The sequence below is a fragment of the Homo sapiens genome, chromosome 16 (assembly GCF_000001405.40).
Source record: "Homo sapiens chromosome 16, GRCh38.p14 Primary Assembly".
Classification (NCBI taxonomy): Eukaryota; Metazoa; Chordata; class Mammalia; order Primates; family Hominidae; genus Homo; species Homo sapiens.
In genome coordinates, this window is record NC_000016.10 from 83829860 (window position 1) to 83853324 (window position 23465).

General features: G+C 45.5%; 5 annotated features.

The window, feature by feature from the left end:
* Positions 10513–11160: an enhancer, noted in NCBI's record as "OCT4-NANOG-H3K27ac-H3K4me1 hESC enhancer chr16:83873977-83874624 (GRCh37/hg19 assembly coordinates)". NCBI's record gives its function as "activates a minimal SCP1, AML or CMV promoter by ChIP-STARR-seq in naive and primed H9 embryonic stem cells {active_cell/tissue: H9 hESC(naive and primed)}" and the evidence as "EXISTENCE:reporter gene assay evidence [ECO:0000049][PMID:30033119]".
* Positions 11161–11808: an enhancer, noted in NCBI's record as "NANOG-H3K27ac-H3K4me1 hESC enhancer chr16:83874625-83875272 (GRCh37/hg19 assembly coordinates)". NCBI's record gives its function as "activates a minimal SCP1, AML or CMV promoter by ChIP-STARR-seq in naive H9 embryonic stem cells {active_cell/tissue: H9 hESC(naive)}" and the evidence as "EXISTENCE:reporter gene assay evidence [ECO:0000049][PMID:30033119]".
* Positions 11809–12455: an enhancer, noted in NCBI's record as "H3K27ac hESC enhancer chr16:83875273-83875919 (GRCh37/hg19 assembly coordinates)". NCBI's record gives its function as "activates a minimal SCP1, AML or CMV promoter by ChIP-STARR-seq in primed H9 embryonic stem cells {active_cell/tissue: H9 hESC(primed)}" and the evidence as "EXISTENCE:reporter gene assay evidence [ECO:0000049][PMID:30033119]".
* Positions 16433–16934: an enhancer, noted in NCBI's record as "H3K4me1 hESC enhancer chr16:83879897-83880398 (GRCh37/hg19 assembly coordinates)". NCBI's record gives its function as "activates a minimal SCP1, AML or CMV promoter by ChIP-STARR-seq in naive H9 embryonic stem cells {active_cell/tissue: H9 hESC(naive)}" and the evidence as "EXISTENCE:reporter gene assay evidence [ECO:0000049][PMID:30033119]".
* Positions 16935–17434: an enhancer, noted in NCBI's record as "H3K4me1 hESC enhancer chr16:83880399-83880898 (GRCh37/hg19 assembly coordinates)". NCBI's record gives its function as "activates a minimal SCP1, AML or CMV promoter by ChIP-STARR-seq in naive H9 embryonic stem cells {active_cell/tissue: H9 hESC(naive)}" and the evidence as "EXISTENCE:reporter gene assay evidence [ECO:0000049][PMID:30033119]".

Sequence of the window (23465 nt, forward strand, 5' to 3'; positions counted from 1 at the left end):
CCGCCATTTCCCCATGGTGATGGAGCTGCAGGGGTCCTGAGAGAGGGACGCTCACAAGGTCCCCGCACCACTTCCCGAGGGTCCCAGAATGACAGATTCGTATTCTAAAGGTGAGTCTGTCAATTGCATTCTGCCCTATGGCAGTCCGGCCAAGGGGGTGGCACCGCAGAGCCAGGAGGGCAATCCCAGTTCACGGTCACCAGGCTCAACCGCAGGCAACGGGCTGGTTGCATTCGTGTGGCAGGTCCTGGCTCCCCTGTTGTGTAGACAGGAGCGCGCGGTGAGCGGAGTGTCGGCCACAAACTCTTGCCCTGGGCGTGGCCATGTGACTTGGTTGATCCAATGGGATAAGAGCGGGGATGACAGAGCCCGCCCCATCCTAGGTCCCTGCCTGAGATGCTGGAGCTGAGCGTCCCAGCCACGTGCGCATGCTGGAGCGGAGGGGCTGTGCCTGGCCAGTGCTGCGTATGGGGGGGCGCCTCCGTTTCATGTCTGGTCAGTTTAGGGACGCCGCATCATTGCAGCAAAAGCCTGACTCCATACCGCTGAGAAATCACCGTGGCTAATGCAGAAGCTGAAGTAGGGCTGTCTTCCATGTGACTCTGGCAAAAAGTCATATGAGTTATTCAGGTCACATGACAGGCCCCCCAACCCTGATCTGAAGGTGGCCACGTGGTGAGGCAGGCCAAGCAGAGTGCTTTTCCCAGCGTCGGTACCAAGGTGCGTTTCTTTTTCGAAATCACAGCTGTAGGAGGCGGCAGCCTGGGCTCCCTGTTGCGGGGCGGAGTCTGTGGTGGGACATCCGAGACGAAGCCACTTTACTCATTAGGTGTAAACGGCCCAGCGCTGGGGCCTACGGACTTCTCAGGACCTGTACATTTATGAGAGACTTTTGTGGGGAAGGGGATGGTATTGATACCAAAGTGAAATTCCGAGGTCCAACACGTTTGAATCAATATCTACAAAAGATACCATTATACCAACCTCATTAACAGGTATATTTAGCATTCATAGAATGTTGTGTTGGTGAGTAAGTTGTAGGTGCCACAAAAATTCCCAAGTATGCGGGATAACTGCTGAGAAATCATAGCCAGCAGTAGAGGGAGTGACTTGCTGTGGAATGCCTCGGGGAGGAAGGCTTCAGTAGCGGGTAGCACAGACCCCCTTGATGCTGGGTCAAACCAATAGGGAGGTGTTTTTCTCACAAAGCCAGAAGTCTGAAGGGGAGAGATCACTCACGTGTATTTAGCTGGAGATAGCCACTCACTCATTTCTGAACCAAATGCTGGTACAGACAATGAGACTGAGATTTTATTTAACAAAACGCTCTGTGCCCGGTATCATCCTAAGCACTTTACAGTATGAACTCTGTCCTCTTACAGCCCTATGAAATGTCTGTAATTATTATCCGCACACTTTACAGCCGAGGAAACTGTGGCCCAGAGAGGTGAGGTTACTTGCTCAAGATTGCACAGCATGTAAATACAAAGGCTGGGATTTTAACCCAAGCTGTCTGACTCCAGAGTTGACAGCGGTACACACCACACTCCTGTCTCTCGATGCCATTGGAGGAGGCAGATGCATCCGGGAGCCAGGGGATGGAGCAGCTTCTCCTGAGGGGTGGACTGCTTTGAGCACAGGGAAGATTCCAGAGTGAAACTGGAATTCCTTTAGGAAGAACAGGAACGGATGCTGAGCAGGTCCCAGTGCTGCCCCTCCTCTCTCCACTCCTCCCTCCTCCCCTTGTGCTCTTACTCCTCTCCCTTTGCCACCTCCCTGGGGAGGTGCTTGCATAAACTGGGAAACTTAAAATCCAATAACTGCTCCTCTCCCACCTGCGACCCTCATCATCCGGTCTGCCCTTGACCTTCGCTTTCCACTTCTCAGACTTCCATTTGCATAATAAAATGACTTTTGCAATGTCAGCCATAAATAGATTATGAGAAGAAAATCTTTTGTTTAAACAGAAATTCGAATTTTCTGAAAGGTGGTGAATAAACACTCTGGAATACATTAGAGATCAGGAAATCTTGTTTGCTTAAAATCATGCTTCAATTTCTTTATATAAGCAGAAAATACTAGCTCTAACATCCTTGCCAGAAGCTTCTTTGTGTCAGAGTATTGGTCTCACTATTCCTATTTGAGTAGCTCAGAAGGTACTAAAAATCCCTGGCTAAGTGAGTGGATGCCTCTATAACAGAACCAGGTGAAACAAGGCTTGTTCAGGGGTGCTGTGCCTCTTCTTTCTGCTGCATTGCCCCAATTCCTTCCCAGAAAAGCATTTTTGAAGATGAGAATGAATTATAAATTGCCTTTACCAATGAGAAGAAATACCCATGGCCTGGATCCAGAAGGACTGAGCCCTGGGATTGGAAGAGCCCCCGGTGATTGCTTAGTTTTTGCTGCCATCTATGCAGAAGGTTCTTTTCAGCATTTCTCACCAGTGGCTCCAGTGTTTGCCTAATCCACAGGCCAAGGAGGGTCTTCAGGAGGCTTGAGTGGGCATCACAGAAGCCACCACACCCAGTCTAAGTAAAACAGGGGCATTTCCATGAAGGGACAGGCAGGTCTCATGGAAGCAAAGCAGTGTCCCAGTTGCCTATGCTTTGTAACACACCACCCAAAACTAGGCAGCATAAACGACCCTTTATCCCTCCAATGGGAGTGAGGACTCAACTCTTGAGGTAAGGCTGGGATACCAGACCAGCTAGACAGGGACTGGGTGGAAGCACCTTTTTATAAGACACACCTACCAGTGTTCCATGTCAGTTGACCATAGCCGTGGCAACACCCCGAAGTTACTGCCCCTTTCCGTGGCAACAACCTGATGACCTGGAAGTTACTACCCTTTACTTTAAGATTTCTGCATAATCCTCCCTTTAATTTGCATGTAATTAAAAGTGGGTGTTTTAGTCCATTTTCATGCTGCTGATAAAGACATACCTGAGAATGGGCAATTTATAAGAGAAAGAGGTTTAATTGCACTTATAGTTCCCTGTGGCTGGGGAAGCCTCACGATCATGGTGGAAGGCAAGGAGGAGCAAGTCACATCTTACGTGGATGGCAGCAGGCAAAGAGAGCTTGTGCAGGGAAACTCCCACTTAAAATAACCATAAGATCTAGTGAGTCTTACTGTCATGAGAACAACGTGGGAAAAACCTTCCCCCATGTTTCAATTACCTCCCAGTGAGTCCCTCCCACAACATATGGGAATTCAAGATGAGATTTGGGTGGGGACACAGCCAAACCATATCACTGGGTATCAATATGACTGCAGACCTCAGACTGAGTCCCTGAGCTGCTACTCTTAGCATACTGCCTATAGGGTAGCCCTGTTCTGGAGGACCAGCCACAGAGCTGTAATACTGCTGCCTCAATAAAGCTGTTTTCTTCCACCACGAGCTCGCTCTTAAATTCTTTCCTGAGTGGAGCCAAGGAACCCTCCCAGGCTAAGCCCCAGTTTGGGACTGCCTGCCCTGCATCAGGAGATTTGTGTAGGGCAAAGCAGGAAGTGCATGCCCCCACTCCAAGGGACAAAGTGCGTGTCCCTGCTCCAGGGCTGGAAGGCTGCAGGCCCTGCCTCTCACTTGGCTGGTAGGTGATGCTAGAGGTTGGCTGGGACCTCAGCTGGGACTATCAATGGGATTGCTACACGCAGCTGCTGCCTACTGCCCAGGCCATCATGAGAAAATGTCTTGCAGGCCTCTGACTACAGGCAGGGTGACAGCCCCACAGCCCCAGCTGCTGAATCCTGAAATCCATTGCCACATTTGCAGCAAGGCCATGCTTGCCATAAGCTGCTCCCAGCCAGGGACTGGGCATGACAGAAACATTGAGCCAGGCCCCTTCCTGGGGGATGCAGGACTCCTCTGCTGGGGGACCCTGACTCATAGACTCCCTGACAGCTCTGCCCGAGCTTCCTGAAAACCACACTGTGAAAGGAGCATAATTCCCTTCTGCTTAGATGTGGGCTGCATGCAGTGACTTCCTTCCAAAGAGGGGACAAAAAGTCACTTTATTTATTTTTGAGACAGGGTCTTGCCCCATCACCCAGACTGGAGTGCAATGGCATGATCATGCCTCTCTGTAGCCTCACCTCCCAGGCCCAAGTGATCCTCCTGCCTCACCCTCCTGAGTAGCTAGGACTGCAGATGCACACCACCAAGCCTGGTGTGCATAATTTTTATATTCGTAGAGTCAGGGTCTCACTATGTTGCCCAGACTAGTCTCCAACTACTGGCCTCAAGCAGTCCTCCTGCTTTAGCCTCCAAATGTGCTGAGATTACAGGTGTGAGTCACCGCTTGGGGCCTAAAAGGGTAACTTTAAAGTGGAATAACATGGCAAACATGACCCTGGCCAGGTGACCAAGGACAACATCAGCAATGACATTCCATTCATTGGAGGCACCCTTGATATAATGTGATAAGAAGGACATTTTACCTCTGTAAAGTCTTTGACCCCAAAACTCACAACCCCAGTCTTATGAGGAAAATCATCAAACAAAGCCCAACAAAGAACATTCTACAAAATACCCAACCAGTATGCCTCAAAACTACCAAGGTCATCAAAAACAAGGAAAGTCTGAGAAACTGTGGTAAGGTGGTATTGTTTGGGTCTGTGACCCCACCCAAATGTCATCTCAAACTGTGATCCCCACGTGTCAAGGGGGGAACCTGGTGGGAGGTGATTGGATCATGGGGGCAGTTTCCCCCGTGCTGTTCTCGTTATAGTGAGGGAGTTCTCAGGAGATCTGATGGTTTAAAGGTGGCAGTTTCCCCCGGGCTTTCTCTGTCTCTCCTGCTGCCATTTGAAGAAGGTACTTGTTTCCCCTTTGGCCATGGTTGTAAGTTTCCTGAGGCCTCCCCAGCCATGAGGAACTGTCAGTTAAACCTCTTACCTTTATAAATTACCCAGTCTCAGGCATTTCTTTATAGCAGTGGGAAAATGGACTAATACATAAGGGGTATGAGAAAATATAGGGTGTTTTGAAAACCTATAAAAGGGAAGATTCCCATGTCTCAGAAGAAGGGAGCATAGGAAGATTTTACCAAGGAGCTGAAAAAGTTGTCTGAACAAAGAAAGTGGAAATAAGACTGAAGCAAAGTGGCTATTATTATTATCATTATTTTAACACTTGCTATAGTCTAGGGAACAAAGTGATCACTTTGTGTGCAGGCTCTTAGAACAACCACTTTCAGAGCTTCCAGCAACTCAGAGAAGACCTCTGTGCTGGAGGCCAGACATGGGGAGGAGGCCTTAAGGAAAAGCTAGAGCACTTTGACAGACGACAAAAGACCTTATTAAGATTCTTCTTTTAAAAGACTCAAGAAGCCATTGAGAGGTTTTTAAGCGGAGACATAACATAGTAAGATTTGTGGGTTTATAACCCCTCTGTAATTCATTTGCTTGTTCCAAACCAGCCACTGCAAGGAAAATGGGGCTGCCCTAACTGGCTTAGAGTAATCAAAATCTATCCCTGGGTTGGAAAAGTGGTCACTTTCCCTTGAGTCTTTGGGTGTTCTTATCAAGTAGGATTTGGGTGTTGGTTGCCGGACAGGCACCAAACCATGTCCACCCCAGAGGTAGAGGGGATTCCCAAAGACCCATGGGAAGCCTCTGCAGGGCTCCAGGCGTGACATCACTGAGGTGCCTTGGACAGGCAGTAGACTTTGGGAGGACCGGATTAACTAATGTGCATTCAAGAGGTAGAATCAATAGTTTTTGTTTGTTTGTTTGTCGTTTTCTAGTTTTTGTTTTTGCTTTTTGTTTTTTGCTTTTTGTTTTTTTTTGATGGATTGGCTAGCTTGGTGCAAGAAATCAAGTTTTTATATGATTATACTACATGGTTGTTTTCCTAAATTCAATTTCTTAGTAATCACATCCCAAAACCACCACAGGAAATACCGTTCTACTATAAATGTGAGTCTTCAAAGAGGGGTGTCAGCATTCCCTGTTAGTAACATAATATGAAATTCCATAAGAAGAAGGACCTAATAATTTACCGAGGATATTTTCTATCCCCTCCCATGACTTCACCCAATGTTCCAGTTCTGAGCACTTAGAAACATTTCGGCCCAATTTGGAGTAATTTTTAATGGGAAAAAAACAAAAAGACATTGTATTCATCAATTTTAGGTGTAATAAAATGATGCCACTTAAGACTTCAATGTGATTAAATTTAAAATACAAATGTCTAGGTATAAAGTAAAACATAATGGCTTTTATTTAACCAGCTCCAGTCAAAAGCCCAGTTCAGATTTCCTGTGGTTTCTCATCTGCGTTTCCTGCTGAGTCATTCTTTCCATAAACAACTTCTGAAATGATAAAGCATACATTTATCAACATGGATATTGCCATCTTTTCTTGTAGAGAACATTATCATGTTTATTCCACCCAGAAGGAAAGGGGGCATGCCTATTTGTATTATTACCCCCAAAATAACTCTGTAATGAATAAGCCCTCGGCAAATCATGGATCCGCTGTTCATCTATGCTCTTATTCTGATAGGAGCCTCGTACGTTCTTTGAAATTGCTCTGAGCTGCTACTTTGATATCCTTTGGAGCCATACATTTTGCTATGTACCTTAAACTTCATTTGGAGGCAATTTAACCCTCAGTATATCCACAAACTTAAACTGGGCAATTTCCTGAAGCAAAATATTCCTGCAATATGCGTGGTGTCTCATAAATGTGTCCACTTGAAAACTGGTAAGGACTGCTCTGGAAATTAGGACAGTTCAAATTCAGACTAACTCAATAGCGATAAAATGGGTCTTTTGTTGTTGTTTTTGTTGTTGTGTTGTTGGTTTGTGGGGAATTTTTTTTTTTTTTTTTTTTGCCCTTTGGATTGTTAAAAATTTAATGATGGGCAAAGGGATGGGTACTCTCATAATATGCTGATAAGATGCAAATTAGTTCAGCCTTATTGGAAGGTGTCATAGCAATAGCTACTAAAATGTTTAGAATGCACATATCATTTGTTGCAATAATTTTGCCTCTAGATTATAGAAATACTTCATGTGCCAAGAAGCAATAACTGAGGTGCCCCTGGTTGCAGTGGTTGCAATAGGATAAAATTATAAACAACCTAAAATCCATTGAGATTTAAATGAGCAGTAGCATATATCCATTCAAAAAGAAAGAGCTAGACCTATCTGATGATTATTAAGATATGCTGTTGAGAGAAAAATGTGGTAAAAAGTGAATCAACCTCAAACCCATGTTAGAGAATACTCTCCTAGGTAATTATCTATTGGGGCGTATATTTAGGTAGGTGCTTGGAAAAGGGTCTGGAACTGCAGAATCTCTTGGGTGCTCAGTAATTGAATGAATACATGGTTGAACCAATATATGTTGTTAATAATTTTTCCCATTTGTTATCTGCCTATCTAATTTCATTCATGGAGTTTTAAGCAATAAACTTTATTTTCAAAATCTCTGAGTAATTGTCTTAGGATGGGGTGAATGTCCTTTTTTGTTGTCCAACTTGGCAGCTTTCTTTTCTTGCTCTTGATTTCACTCGACTGTAGCCAGCGGCAATTCTCAAACGAAATCTTACATTTCCGTGATTTTCCCCATGGCACCCTTTTTCTTCTCCCCACCCTTCCCCTTTTCCCTTGATAGCTTTTTTATCCCTCAAGGGAGAGTCTGGACATCGTTTCCGTGGAGAAGAGCCCCTAACAATCCTGGAATAAGGCAGGTCGCCTGTGGCTCATACTATGATGTTATAAGGTTGTTGTGAGGATGAAATATCTTAATGCTTATAAATGATTTAGAACAGTGCCTGGCACATTGTATTGTGGGTGCTCTGCAAGTATGAACTGTCATTACTGACTGTTGTTACTAGACTGCAAGCTACATGAGGGTAGGAACCCCATCCATCTCATTTGCTACGGTGAAATGCAAAACATGGCCACATTGCTCCAGATTCCTCTCATCCTTATATACACGTCCCTCTGCATTGTGATTTTGCCACTTTTCCCATCCGAAGGTGGAGTCCTAGTTCCTGCCATCTAAGGGAGCTAGTCTAAGCTAACTCCCACCTGGTGGAGAACTGAGGCACGCCACCAATACCCAGGACCAAGAGACTCATATACTAGTGAGTTATATTAAAACTTCCAGCCCAGTTGACCCTCTGGCCGGATACATCCAGGTGAGCAAGCCTAGATGAGGCCAGCAGAAGAATTATCCAGCCAACCCACAGAATCATGAGTAAAGCAATATCATTGCCATTTCACACTAAGTTTAAATACTAAGTATTGGGGTGGCTTGTTAGCCAGCACAGAATAACCAATAAATTTACCATTGTATCCTCTAGGATGGAGGATACAGGGCTGGTGCTAGTAGATGCTCAATGAATATTTGTTGAATAAATGAATAAGTGCATGATGCAGTGGGGGAGAGGGAGAAAGAAAAGAAGGAAGGAAAAGGAAAGAAAAGGAGGGAAGAGAGAGAGGGAGGGAAGAGAGAGAGGAGGGGAAGAAAAGAGAAAGGGAAAAAGGAAGGAAGGAGGGAGGAAGGGGAGGGAGGGAGGAAGGTAAGAAAGAAGAAAGGAAGGGAGAGAGGGAGAAAGAAAGGAAAAAAAGGAGAGAAGGAGGAAGAAAGAGATGCAACTGTCTTATTCCGTTGGAAAGATTAATGCCGCAGAGTAGGAGGATCGAGTTACAACAACCGTGATCTCTTTTTTTGCTGATTTCATAGACTGTGTACTTAGAAAGGGAAATGTGATCAGCCATAATCGTCTAATCGCATTGGAACTACTTGGGGTGTCTTTTCTATGGAGAGTAAAAGAATGTCCAGATTTCAGATCCAGGTCCCCTGACTGCTTTAAAAACTAAAATGTCCATTAATACATTTCAGGAAACTACACTTGTATTGGTTGTCTTAGTTATTAGTAAGGTTGATATTTCTCCTTCCCTCAAACACAGATGAAAAATGCCATTTGGGAACACTGACAATAATTTGAACTCTATGGAATTCTTTAGTTTATCTTTATCATGTATAACCGAAATCTTGGCCAGGCATGGTGGCTCACGCCTGTAATTCCAGCTCTTTGGGAGGCCGAGGCGGGCAGATCACCTGAGGTCGGGAGTTCGAGACCAGCCTGACCAACATGGAGAAACCCCATCTCTACTAAAAATACAAAATTAGCTGGGTGTGGTGGCACATGTAATCCCAGCTACTCGGGAGGCTGAGGCAGGAAAATCACTTGAACCGGGGAGGAGGAGTTGCGTTGAGCCGAGATCACGTCATTGCAGTCCCGCCTGAGCAACAAAAGCAAAACTCCATCTCAAAAAAATAAATAAATAAAATAACAGAAATCTTAATTTTCCATTTGTATTAAGTTCTTCTTATTCTTAGGCAGAACTAGAAGGCACAGAATCTTCAAAGCCGATGGATTGTGTTCATGTCTTCTTAGATTTCAGCTTTAAAACAGAGTTGAGAAGACAAAACAGATTAGTTAATTCAAGTGTCACAATTGTAATTATCTAATTTGCTTTACTCCCAGATTTTCAATATTTTAAATTCAGCCAATAGTTAAGTTTTGAGGATTTATATGGCATAACATTTGTTAACCAACTGCCATAAAACCAAGTTTTTTAAAAAATGATTTCCTGGGGCTGATAGGGAGAGGAATATGAAGAAAAAATAAATGGGGCACTTTTTTTTCATTGTTCATGCCAGAGAGTCAACAAATACCATCCGAAGTTAAAACATGGAGTTTAAGAAAAAGGTAATGACTTCAGCCTCTATGATTTTTCTAAACATTTTTCTTAACTTTAAAGGAACAGAGGACTCATTTCTCTTGAGTGTGTGTGTGTGCTCCTGTGTCCTTTGTGTGTGTGTCTGTGTGTGTGTGTGTGTGTGTTTCTGTGTGGGTGTCTGTGTTTGTGTTTATCCAAAGGTCAGCAATTTCTTTAGTTTAACTTCAGATTCTTCTACTGTCAAATCTAAGTAAAATCAAATGTTTTCTCTTTAAAAGTAGCATCTACAGTAAAATTCCCCGTTTTCAACTAATGTCTTTTTATTTGTCTTTTTATCCATGTAGCAGAGACCAAAGACTGATAATAATGGCTATTTCTGGGAAGCAGATTGCGAGTGTCTTTCCATTAGCATTATTATTCTTTGCACTTTTATACATTGTTCAATTTTTAAAAATACCATATATAGTTTTATGAATACTATAAAGTTGTCAACAAAAAGAGCCAAACTCTGTAAAATATTTAAAGAGGTTTATTCTGAGCCCAATATGAGTGACCAGGGCCTGAGACACAGTCTCAAGAGGTCGTAAGAACATGTGCCCAAGGTAGTTGGGCGACAACTTGATTTTATACATTTTAGGGGGACAGGAATTACAGGCAGACATCAATCAATGCATGTATACATTGGTTCCATCCAGAAAGGCGGGACAGCTCAAAGACCTGGGGGTGGGAGAGTGGGTTCCACGTCATAGGTGGATTCAAAGATTTTCTGATTGGCAATTGGTTGAAAGAGTTATTAGCTAAAGACCTGAAATCAGTAGAAAAGAGTGACTGGGTTAAGATAAGGGGTTGTGGAGACCAAGGTTCTTATTATGTAGATGAAGACTCCAGGTAGCAGGCTTCAGAGAGAATAGATGTTAAATGGCTCTTATCAGACCTAAGAAGGTGCTAGCCTCTTAGTTAATCTCTCCTGAATCAGGAAAAGTCCTGGAAAGGGAGGGGAATTCTCTAGAGAATGTAAAGACCACTTTACAGGGCCATTTCAGAATATCTCAAAAAATATATTTTGAGGTAAAATATTTCCGTTTCTTTCAGGGCCTGCCATCTGTCATGTGATGCTATACGAGAGTCAGGTTGGAATTTGGTATCTTCTGGCTACAAAGAGTCTGTTTGATCAGCCTTACAATCTCTGTTTTAATGTTAATGCTGGTCCATTGTGCCTGAATTCCAAAGGAAGGAGGGCATAAAAAGGCATGTCCAACCCCTGCTTCCCATCATGGCCTGAACTAGTTTTTCAGGTTTACTTTGGAATCCCCTTGGCTGAGAGGAGGGATCCATTCAGTCAGTCAGAGGGCTTAGAATTTTATTTTGGGGGCTGGGCGCAGTGGTTCATGCCTGTAATCCCAACACTTTGGGAGACCAAGGCAGGCAGATCACTTGAGGTCAGGACTTTGAGACCTGCCTGGCCAACATGGAGAAACCCTGTCTCTACTAAAAATACAAAATTAGCCGGGCATAGCGGCGCATGCCTGTAATCCCAGCTACTTGGGAGGCTGAGGCAGGAGAATCGCTTGAACCTAGGAGAGACGGAGGCTGCAGTGAGCCAAGATCGCGCCATTGTACTCCAGCTTGGGCAACAAGAGTGAAAAAAGAAAAAAAAAAAGGTTGTGGAGACCAAGGTTCTTATTATGTGGATGAAGCCCTCAGGTAGTAGGTTTCAGAGTCTCACTCCGTCGTCCAGGCTCGAGTGCAGTGGCTCAAACATAACTCACTGCAGCCTTGACCTCCTGGGCGCAAGTGATCCTCCCACCTCAGCCTCCCGAGTAGCTGAGAACACAGACATGCACCACTATCCTGGCTAATTTTATTTTATTTTATTTTATTTTTTTGTGGAGACCAGATCTCACTATGTTGCCCAGGATGATCCTAAACTCCTTGATTCAAGTGATCCTCCCGCCTCAGCCTCCCAAAGTGCTGGGATTACAGGCAAGAGCCTCAGCTCCACATGTAAATGTTTCTCGTCAGACTGAAAGCATCTGTTCTGTCCGTCTTAAGGTCTCTGTTCTAATGTTAATGCTGGTCAGCTGTACCTGAATCCCAAGGAGACGAAGGTATAGTGACACATGTCTAACAACCCATTCCCATCATGACCTGAACCAGTGTTTCAGGTTTACTTTAGAATGCCCTTGGCGTACAGGAAGGGTCTATCCAGTTGATCGGAAGGCTTACAACTTTATTTTTGACAGAGGCCATAAAAGACAAGATTGATGTAAAAATAAGCTGTTTGGCTGGGCGCAGTGGCTCACACCTGTAATCCCAACACTTTGGGAGGCCCAGGCGGGTGGATCACTTGAGATCAGGAGTTTGAGACCAGCCTGACCAATATGGTGAAACCCTGTCTCTACTAAAAAAAAAAAAACAAAAATTAGTCGAGTGTGGTGGCATGCACCTGTAGTCCCAGCTACTCAGTAGGCTGAGGCAGGAGAATCACTTGAACCCGGGTGGGGGCAGAGGTTGCAGTCAGCTGAGATCGCACCACCTGGGCAACAGAACAAGACTCTGTCTCAAAAAAAAAAAAAAAAAAAAAAAGAAGCTGTTCTGCCCAGAAACGTATACCATAAACACAGTAACATGACAAACTGTGAAAAAGGCCTGATTTCCTCAATATGAAGAGTGCTCCCATGTATGAATTGATAAGGCTCAGGACACACCACCCCAAAATATGAATCAAGGAGACCGCCATAGGCCACCCAAATATGCCTCTTTGTCATAAGGATTATTTTGACCTGGTTATTTTGAGAAACTGCAGACATAAAAGATCTGAAAAATTATCCTTTGTAAGAGAAATTGGTATTTGTAAAGGAAATCTCCATTTGAAAGGATGTCTCCCTCTAAGACTCTGAATCAGCGGAGAAGCCTTCAACTTAAATCTGCGCAAGCTCGCTTCTGCTTTCCAGGGCTTGTCCTGGCCTTCTCACCTTAAAGGGGCCTTTCCCCACCCTCCTTACTTTGTTTCAGCAAACAATGATATTTAAGCCTGAAGTTTATACTCTTTTTTTTTTAAGATCGACTCGTTTCTTTGGGTCATCTCCCACGTATACAGGAGGGATAAATGTTTTTAAATTTCTGTTTGTTTTCTCTTGTGCATCTGTCTTTTGTTATAGGGAGTCCCGGCTAAGAATTATGAAGGACAGAGAGAAAATTCTTTTTCCTACCCTGCAGAATCAATAAGACAGACTGACAACTGCGCAGAAAAATAAGCAAGGCTATCAACAGACAGTCCCCAGTAAAACAAAAACAAACACTCACTAGTCTTAAATAGATGAGAAGCTCAATCTCACTTGTGGAAAAAATGAAAATTATGCAAGAGCTTCCCTTTTCTATCTATCAGACTCTGGCAAGGGGAAGAGGCTTTAAGTGCCTGCATGAGGCGGCGCTTAGTGTTTATATTTACTGTGTACTCTTAAGTCTTAGGGCCTTTTTGAATTTTATACCATGGGCATGTTTTGCCTTTTCAAAAATAAAGGTGTTTTAAGTGCAAGTATGCAGAAGTCCTAAGCAAAAGGGTTTGAAATGGAGAAGTTGCAGGTATTACCTCTTCTCCCATGGGGGCAGCTGCTCATTCACTCATGTCACTGACACTCCCTGAGCAACTGCAGTGCCTGGCATTGTTCTGGGCCCCGGGAAACGGCTGTGAAAAAGGCAAAGTCCCCAGCCTGGTGGCCCTCGTGTTCTGGCAGCGGGAGACAGACAATAAAGAAACGAGTCCCTATATGGTCTGTAGGTTATGACAGGTGACATCGAGGACTGGTAGGGAGGGGAGGTGAGGAGCACTGGGAGGGAGCTGGGTAGACTTTGCATGCTTTTTTTTTAGCATAGGTTGCTCAAGAAAGTCCTGAGCAAGACAGTGACATTTAAGCTGAGTCCTCAAAGAAATGGGGGAACCAGGCTGGGCGCGGTGGCTCACGCCTGTAATCCCAGCACTTTGGGAGGCCGAGGTGGGCGGATCACCTGAGGTCGGGAATTTGAGACCAGCCTGACCAACATGGAGAAATACCATCTCTACTAATAATACAAAATTAGCTGGGCGTGGTGGTGCCTGCCTGTAATCCCAGCTAGTTGGAAGTCTGAGGCAGGAGAATCGCTTGAACCTGGGAGGCGGAGGTTGCAGTGAGCCGAGATTGCGCCACTGCACTTCAGCCTGGGCGACAAGGGCAAAACTCCACCAAAAGAAGGAAAGGAAAGGAGGAAGGAGGGAGGAGGGAGGGGCCAGTCATGGAGCTATCTGGCCAAGGGGAAGCTGTTCTAAAGAGAGGAACCGCACATGCAAAGACGCAGCCACAGAGGTGAGGCTGGTATGCACCAGTAGCAGCAGGAAGGCCTGCCATGCCGCGATGCATGAGTAGGAGGGAAAAGGGGAGGAGGAGAGACCGAAGAGACAGTGCTGGGCCAAACAGAGTGGGATTTTGTACATCACTCCAGGGTCAGGGGGAAGCAGGGTCATGCCGTGGTGCAGTGCCCAGCACAGAACCCTGCACCTCTGTAAATGACTATTGGATTTGAATTTCAAATGCAACACCTCATCGTGTTAAGGGAAAACTCCCTTTACTATTTTTCCACTATTTTATGAAAACAGAGTGTTGAATCATGTTTTAAAATTGTCTGTTTCAATTATTAAAGCCTTTAAATATTTTCTCTTATTCCACGATAAATTACCTTAAGAACAAAGCTTATTTGGCCTTGGTGACTTTTCTTTAATGAGTTGTTTTATGCTGGTTGGTAAAATTTTATGAAGGACTTCTGCATCTATCATTACAAGTGCTATTGGTCTGTAATATTTTTGAGAAATGGGATTTTTCATGGTTCTAGGATACTCCATTTTAATAGGGTACCATAATCATCTAAGTTTCTGGGATTGAATACTAGAGAAGGGATTGCCTTAATTGTCTGTCTCTCTCTCTCTCCCTTTCACTCTCGTGTGTGAGTGCACGCGCATACACACACAAATGGGATCAAAAAATACATATATTTAAGACATAGATATATAGTGGGATTCAGATTTCTGTACCTGACCACCCACTTCCTCATATTCTGTAGAATTCATCTGGTCTCTCCCAAGGCCCCGTCTCAGGGATCATGGAACAAACTGCCTTTTGTCCCAGCTGCTGAATCAGGTCACACACAGCTGGCCGCTGGCCGTGCTCAGCCTCTCTCAGTTCCGTCTCTGCTTGCCCACCCCTCCCTGAGATGCGGTCTGGGTGTTTGGGAGACCAGGGGCCCCCATGGTACCCCTGACAGCAGAGGGAAGCACTTCTCAGGTCCAGGCGGTGACCATGATGCGGTGCCGAGAGCCCCGTGGGCCTCCATCGTGTGAACTGGGGGCTGGGGTAAGCTCCCGAGATGGGTTTGTTTGGGACCCAAGAGACCCCATGGCTGCCTCAGTCTCACCTCAGCCCTCTCCAAACTGAAGTCTCTTGTGAGTCTCCACCACGTCCTCCATTTGCTTCCCTGTCCCAGACCAGCCTATACCCAGCCTCTGCCTAAGGGTCACCTTGACCCTTTCTACCTGGGAACCAAGAGGAGACCAGTGAAGCCAGGATCAGGTACGCCGAGTAATCCCTGCCTCCTTCAGAGAAGTGTCCTCCCCTGTCCCCGAGCCCGGTGCCCAGACACTTCTGCCTGTGGCTTCCAGTTGAGTTTGGCCAATGGTCAGCACCAGCTGAAGGCAAAAAGGAGGGAGAACAGGGCCTTCGGTTCTGTCCTCATTTTCTGATTCCCCCACTGTTGGGTCCTCTCCCCAGGGCCCAGCACCTATCGGGAGCCTGTCTGCCCAGCACCACCCGCCACTCTCAGGCCTGGGAGCAGCAGTGGCTCCTGCCTTTGCTGGCCCTAGGCCCTGTGGCCCCCTGCAGCCTTCTCTTGCTCTGCCCACGCACGGTCAAGTTCCCAGTTGGTATGAGCCATCGGTTTCCTGCCAGGGGCCTGCTGGATATGCGAGGCCTCCCCTCCTAGTCTCACTCCATTACTGACTTCTCCCTGATGCTGAAGCGGTGTCCTTGTCTGGGGTAATCCCTGAGTATCCTTGCCTCATGCCAAGAAAATTAAGGACATGGACACACACAAGGAGGTTCAGGCCGGGCATGGTAGCTCACAGCTGTAATCCCAGCACTTTGGGAGGCCGAGGCAGGCGGATCACTTGAGGTCAGGAGTTTGAGACCAGCCTGGCCAACATGGTGAAACCCCAACTCTACTAAAAATACAAAAATTTGCCAGGTGTGGTGGTGCACACCTGTAATCCCAGCTACTCGGGAGGCTGAGGCACAAGAATCACTTGAACCCAGGAGGCGGAGGTTGCAGTGAGCCGAGATGGCACCGCTGCACTCCACCCTGGGCGACAGAGCGAGACTCTGTCTCAACAACAACAACAACAACAAAGAGTGGAGGTTTAATAGGCAAAAGAAAGAGAAAGGAGAACAGCTCTCTCCCTTGCAAAAGAGAAGGGCACCAGAATGGGACTTCTGGCCTGCAGCAGAATGCAGCAGATTTTATAGACAGGCTTGAGGAGGGGGTGTCTGATTTACAGAGGGCCCACAGATTGGTTGGACCAGGTGTGATGTTTACACAGCATTTGGGGAAGCTGCCCATCCCACTCTAATCTTATTAAGCAAATTGGCTTTCCACTTGGTGGGTGCCATATTGTCTGCTCCTTACTGTACACTTGGCTGGCAAAGGGAAGGGAAGACGGAGCCGCCATGTTGGACATGCGTAGACCCAGGTAACCCCTTTCCTACTGGCACAGCTACCGGCATGCACCATGCCAGGTTCTAGCCTGCCTTTCTATGTGTGCAGCTCGATTTTATAAGCTGCTGTTTGTTAGAAAAGAAATGATTTGGGGGCTGCTGCTTTTAATTAAAAGAAAAACCTTACTAAGGACATCCTTACCCTTCCTTAGTATCTGCCTAAATAATTTTTTTTTTTTTTTTTTTTTTTGGTGGAATCTCACTCTGTCACCCAGGCTGGAATGCAGTGGCATGATCTCAACTCACTGCAACTTCCACCTCCCCAGTTCAAGCAATTCTCCTGCCTCTGCCTCCCGAATAGCTGGGATTACATGTGCCCGCCACCACACCCGGCTAATTTTTGTATTTTTAGTAGAGACAGGGTTTCACTACGTTGACCGGGCTGGTCTCGAACTCCTGACCTCAAGTGATCCGCCCACCTCCGCCTCCCAAAATTCTGGGATTATGGGTGTGAGCCACCGTGCCCAGCCAATAATTTCTTCTTAAATTCCGTATCAGTGCAGTCAGGATAGCAGAGAACTAAACAGGAACCAGAAAAGAAGCCCTCCCCCTCAGGCTCCCTCCCAACTCCCTACCAGGGGTCTTCTCCAAGAGACCTAGCAAGACCCACACATCCACTCTTCCCCTCTGCTCCCTCCAGGTCTGTTCACCCCACAAACTTTGGGAGCCATGAGCAGAGGGCTTCCCCAGGCTGCAGTTAATCTATGAGCATCTTGGTGCAATTTAGAAACAGGCACCTCCTTCCTCAGGACACTTTACTTCTATCTGGAAGAAAAATTGCTCTATTTATTTTGTATCTAGAAAACTGTCAGGACAAATCTATAAATCTACAGTGTCTCTGCCATGAATGAAAGGTGCCCCTTACATGAGATCCTTGCACAGTGTGCAACCTGTATGCCCGGGCCCTGCCTTCCTGGCTTTTCTTTGTCTAATATGTTTGTGTTCCTCCCAGCTCTACTCTCATGACTGAGAACTAAGCATTTCTGCATCTTGGGAGGATCTCTAAGGTCAAGTGGTGAAAAACAACATCTTACTAGAGAGATCAAGTACCCACTCTGTCCCAAGGGTGACACCTTCCCGGTTTAGCCTGAGGAGGTAGACTGCTTCATGGAGGACCTGTTAAAAAGGGGAAGTTAAAATGTCGCAACTTAAATATTGGCAAATATATTTTGTCTTTTACATATGCTAGAGACTTTACTCATCTCAATCCTCACGTGCTTCATTTCGTTTTACAGATGTAGAAATTGAGCTACCCCATGGCTCAGCAGCTCCTCCTAATGTACCTTGTGAAATGCTATAGGGTGAGGCTCTTCCCACCTCCAAATCCACTAACTGCTCAGTAAATGGGAAAACAAGAATTCAGAGAGCACAGGGGATCTGTCTATTAGGACTCATTGTCCTCCACCCTGCTTTTTTTTTTTTTTTTTAATGTGGCCCTGTGGCATTTTTGGCCATCTGCATGTCTGGGCTTGCGAGAGATTGGATGCCAGTTTTCACTTAAGGAAAATTTTTACACTGTAGTCAAAAGCCATTTAAGAAATAAACGCTGGGAAGATGATAATGGAAGTGCTGGTAACCTTTAATGACGGTGGCGCTTGCAAAACGTAGAGTTCAGGAAGGGCTGATGCTTGATCCAAAAAGCTCTTGTTAAAATCCAATCTTCTTCCGCAATGAGCATTAGCAGGAAATGCTTGCAATGAACAAAAACACAGGAAAGGTTAATGGCCTCCTTTGCTATAACGATTCAGGGTTTTATCTCACGTTCCAGCTCATCCTCGGATCATGCATACGTTGAAGGGTCTTTTTTTTTTTTCTTTTTGGTAATCAGGAGAAAAATTGATTACCAAAATTATAATTAAGAGCTGGGAAAATATGCAACAATTTGGCTGCTTCATTTAGCACATATTTCAGGTTAATTGCATGATTTTACTAATGAAGATATTTGCATGAATATTTTCAGTGGCTACATTCAATTTATCATGCAATGAATACTCTGCTGAGCAGATGAGTTTCCTTTTTGTTGGACTTAGAACATAGGCCACAACCCTCAGTGAGATGTGCAAGGAGACCGTTCTAGGCTTATGTGTCAGCCTCTCACTTAGTAATCTGGTGTACCTCCCTGGTAGAATTTACACTATCCACTGTACAACCAGATCCTTTCCTAATTTTGAAAAAGACTGGAAGTTTCCAAAGAAAGTGGAAAAACAACCTTTATTACCCCTTTAAAAAAAAAAAAAAGTTTGTTAAAGGCCAGGCCCAGTGGCTCACGCCAGTAATCCCAGCATTTTGGGAGGCTGAGGCAGAAGGCTAACTTGAGCCCAGGAGTTCAAAACCAGCCAAAAATGGGTAATGTAGACCCTATTTCAAAGAAAAGATAACCACTGTTAAGGTTTATGGACATTCTATTTAAGTATTTCTTCTTTGGTAAGAAATTTCTTGTTTCTTACCAAAATGAATTATACTATACATACGGTTTTGTATTTAATCTCCCTTTTTACTGAACAATATAAATTGTGAACACTCTCTTAATTAGTAAACATTTTTCTATCATTGTGTAAATGTACAAAGTGTTTCATTGTGTGGAAGGGTCACCATTTATTTAAGTGATCCCCTTTTATTGGACCTTTAGGTTGAACTCAATTGTTCACTATTATAAGTAGCAGACAGTGAACATTCGTGAAGCTCTTTGAACACATCTAGAATTATTTCCTAAAGGTACATTTGTAGAGACTAAATGATTGGAAAGCCCTGATAGAGACTGCCAAATCTGACCCCCTAGGAAGATACACATTTGAAATCCCACCAGCAGGTTGGGATAAGGCTTGTTTCCCTGCAGTCTCACCAACATTGGGGACCAACGCCATCCTTTCAAATGAGACCTAAAAACTGATCTCTTTGTTGACTTCGTTTGCATTTCTTTAGTTCCTACTGGAACGAGTGACTATTTATGGGCCATTTATGGTTCTTTGTAAACTGCTAGCTCAAGTGTTTTGCCCATTTTTTAAAAGTGGGGTTAATTTTGTTTTTGCTGCTTTGTAATTTTTTGGGGGGTCTTAAGAATATGGCCATTAAACTGCTATATATGGTACAAATATTTTTCCATTAATTGTAATATTTTTGTATTTGTGCAACAGCCAGCTTAGCTGCAACTCCCTGGTGAGTCCAGAGCTCCTAGCAACAGAGAGTTTGCGCTTTGAGCAGCTGCATGTGGAGAAAGCTGGGCCTGAGAACCAGAAGGCCACGTGCCACCTCCCCCCAAATCACCGTTAGTGTCCTGAGCGAGGCAGAGGCTCCCTGGGGTGCAGATGGAAGAGGGTGGCTAGAGACAAGGGAGGACTCTGGGCTTGGGCGCCCCCAGCATTGGTCCAAGCTAACGCTGGGTTGGGAAAAGCTTTTGTTTCCAAGCAGAGAGTTCACATGAGTTAAATCTGGAAAACATGAAGAAATCTCAAAAAAACACGAACTACTGTTCCTTTAAAAAGATATTTAGGCCAGGCACACTGGCTCAAGCCTGTAATCCCAGCACTTTGGGAAAATGGTTTGAGGCCAGGGGTTCAAGAACAGCCCAAACGGCGTACATAGCAAGACCCCATCTCAGCAAAAAAGAAAAGATATTTAATATGATTCTGAAATACAGTGAAGGATCCTAGATTGGAGCCTGAATTATAGAAAATGTTGCTGGATGGCCTAGTATTGAACAGTGAAGTGTAGATTATTTAGATAATAGTGTTGAATCAATATTGAGCTTCCTGAACTCAATCACCTTATTGTGATTATAGAAGAAGATGCCTCGGTTCATAGGGGACACGTGCTGAAATAGTTAAGGATAAATATCACGCTGCCGGCAACTTACTATGGTTGAGAGGCTTCCTGAAAGGACCTTGGAAGACACTCTGGTGAACGCGTATGTTAACAAGCAAGGGACCTAGGAGAAGGGTCTGTGTGTGGCTGTTCGCTGTTCTGTTCCTGTGACTTTTCCATAGGTTTGGACGTGTTTTCAAATTAAACATTTTTAAATGCTACTAAAACCAGGCATGGTGTCTCACACCTATAATCCCAGCACTTTGGGAGGCTGAGGCAGGAGGACCACTTGAGCCCAGGAGTTCAAGACCAGCCTGAGCAACACAGGGGGACCCCATCTCTCCAAAAAAAAAATAATAATAAGAGCCAGGCACGGTGGCGCATGCCTGTAGTCCCAGCTACTTAGGAGGCTGAGGTGGGAGGATCACCTGAGACTGAGAGGTTGAGGCTGCAGTAAGCCGTGATGGCAGCACTGTGCTCCAGCCTGGGTGACAGAGTGAGACCCTGTCTCAAAAACAAAACAAAAGAAAACAAAAAAATCTAGGTGTAACAGCCAGGCTTGTTAAAGATGAACAGTTGTCAGTAGAACAAAGTCAGGATTCCCGAGTCCTCCATCTCAGAGGCAGCTGCCTAAGGGCCCAATCTGCCACAGCAGCCCCAGCTCTGCCCCTGTGACCTCCCCCACACACCCCTCAAGTCCTCTACCTCACCCCTATTGTTCCCCACACGCATCACATAGGAAGGACATGTCTTTCTTGGAAACAGTGTTATTCACACTATTTCAAACACACACAAAAAGAACAACGCAATAAATGCCCGTGTTCCCCAGACAGCATTATCACATCTTAGCTGAATGTTGCATTTCCTCAAATCTCTCTGTTGTTTTTCTTTTTTTTAAGGAATAAAGCATCATGGAATTGCTGGGGCCCCCATATAGGAATTGCTGGGGCCCCCATATAGCTGCCTCTAAGCCCTGTCATCCCTCCTCTCCTGTGGTTCGTCTCTCATCCACTGGGTGTTTCTCCTTCAACTGTTTGTTGTCAAGCTTCCAATACATATGTATGCATCCACAAGCAATATGTGGGTTTTTCCAGGTTTTAAAACTCAATAAATATTATACAGAGCACATCATTCCACGACCTGCTTTTCTGGCTCTGTGTTGTTTGTGAAATGCGTCCAAATGAATATACATGTGGTTGTAACCCATGGAATTTACCCTGTGTTTCATATTCCACTGAATTTGAATATCCCCTCATAGATTGTATCCTTTCCCCCATAGATGGATGTGCACATGGTATCCCCTTTTACAGGCAGTGCTGCAATTCACCTCCTCAGCCACAGCTCCTTCAGCACCTGTGACAATGTCAAAGGTGTATTTACCTGTTAGGGAAATAAAGGGGAGGGGAACTGGTGGCATTCAGCAGGAAGCCACCATCTGAATCTCAGAGCACATGCTCAGAGTTTGGACTTTGCAACTCAACTCCCTGTTGTCCTTCCCTCCTCTGCTTCTTGCACCTTGTCCCCCAGCACCTGACACAGCTACTGTGTCGGTCAGGGTTTTGCCACACTAATGCTGTGTCATAAACAATCCCAGATTCCGGGGGTTTTCAAGTATGTATTGTTCGCTCATGCATCAGGCTCAGCTCTGCGCCAGTTGTGGATTAGATTTGTCTGCTCTGTGGGTGTTTGATTCCTGAAGGGTCAGTGGTTTCCTGGGACATGCTCTTCTCCCGGTGAAAGGCCAAGCCAAACCATGAAAGCACAAAAGCACAAGTAAAGCCTCTGTCCAATGTGGCGGATATGGTATCTGGTCATATTCATTGGCCAACAAAAGTCACATGGCTAAGCCCGAAGTCAGCAAGAGGGGAATAGACTCCAACCACTGTGGTGCCTTGGGCAGGAGGGGAGGAAGAAGTATGTGCTAAATGAAGCCATCTACCCCAGGTACAGACCTTCCCTTCCTCTGTTCCTCCCGCCAAACACACACACACACACACACACACACACACACACACACACACACACATCAAAGGCATTCAAACCAAAGCGACTCCATCTTGAATTGGGGTTGGTTAAAATAAGACTGGGACCTACTGAGCTGCATTCCCAGGAGGTTAAGGCATTCTGAATCACAGGATGAGCTAGGAGGTCAGCACGAGATACAAGTCACAAAGACCTTGCTGATAAAACAGCCTGAGGTAAAGAAGGTGGCCAAACTCACCAAAACCAAGATGGCGATGACAGTGACCTCTGGTCGTCCTCATTGCTCTTTATACACTAATTGTAATGCATTAGCATGCCAAAAGACACTCCCACCAGCACCATGACATTTACAAATGGCGACATCAGGAAGTTACCCTACATGGGCTCAAAAGGGGAGAAACCCTCAGTTCTAGGGATTGCCCACCCCTTTCCCAGAAAACTCATGGATAATCCACCCTTTGTTTAACGTATAATCAAGAAGTAACAATAAGCTGCTGAGCAGCCCATGCTGCTGCTCTGCCCGTGGAGTGGCCATTCTTTATTCCTTTACTTACCTAATAAACTTGCCTTCGCTTTATGGATTTGCCTCGAATTCTTTCTTGCTGGAGAGCCAAGAACCCTCCCTTGGGGTCTGGATTGGGATCCCTTTCCAGTAACGTGCACACACACTCATGCACGCACACACACAGACGCACAGATGCACACACGCACACACACGTGCACACATGCACGCATGCACACGCACACAAATACGCACACTTGCAGACTCCTTCTCACCTCTCCTCCCCAGTTACCTACCGCCCACTCCTTGGTTCCTGCCAGTTGTTTCCAGGGCTGGATTGGGTTGGAGAGTGACAGCTAGACAGGTGCTGGGTGCACTGATAATAAGGGCAGCAAACGCATCATCAGAAGGGTAACAAGATGAAGAAAACAGAATCTACTCACAAACCTCCCCAGGAGGCTAAAATCATCCACTGGAAATGATCATAGGATGAGCCCCCGGAGTGAAGAGAGGGCCCCATGGGGCAAGCTCAGCTCACAAGCCAGGCTAGCAGCTGCCCTCCCAGAAGCAGGATGTGGCTCACTGCAAAGCCTTTGCCCCTCACGCCCAGGTAGGTTTGGACCCCCAGGCAGAGCTGAGTTGCCGGGGACAAGAAAGCTCAGCAGTACCAACGCAGT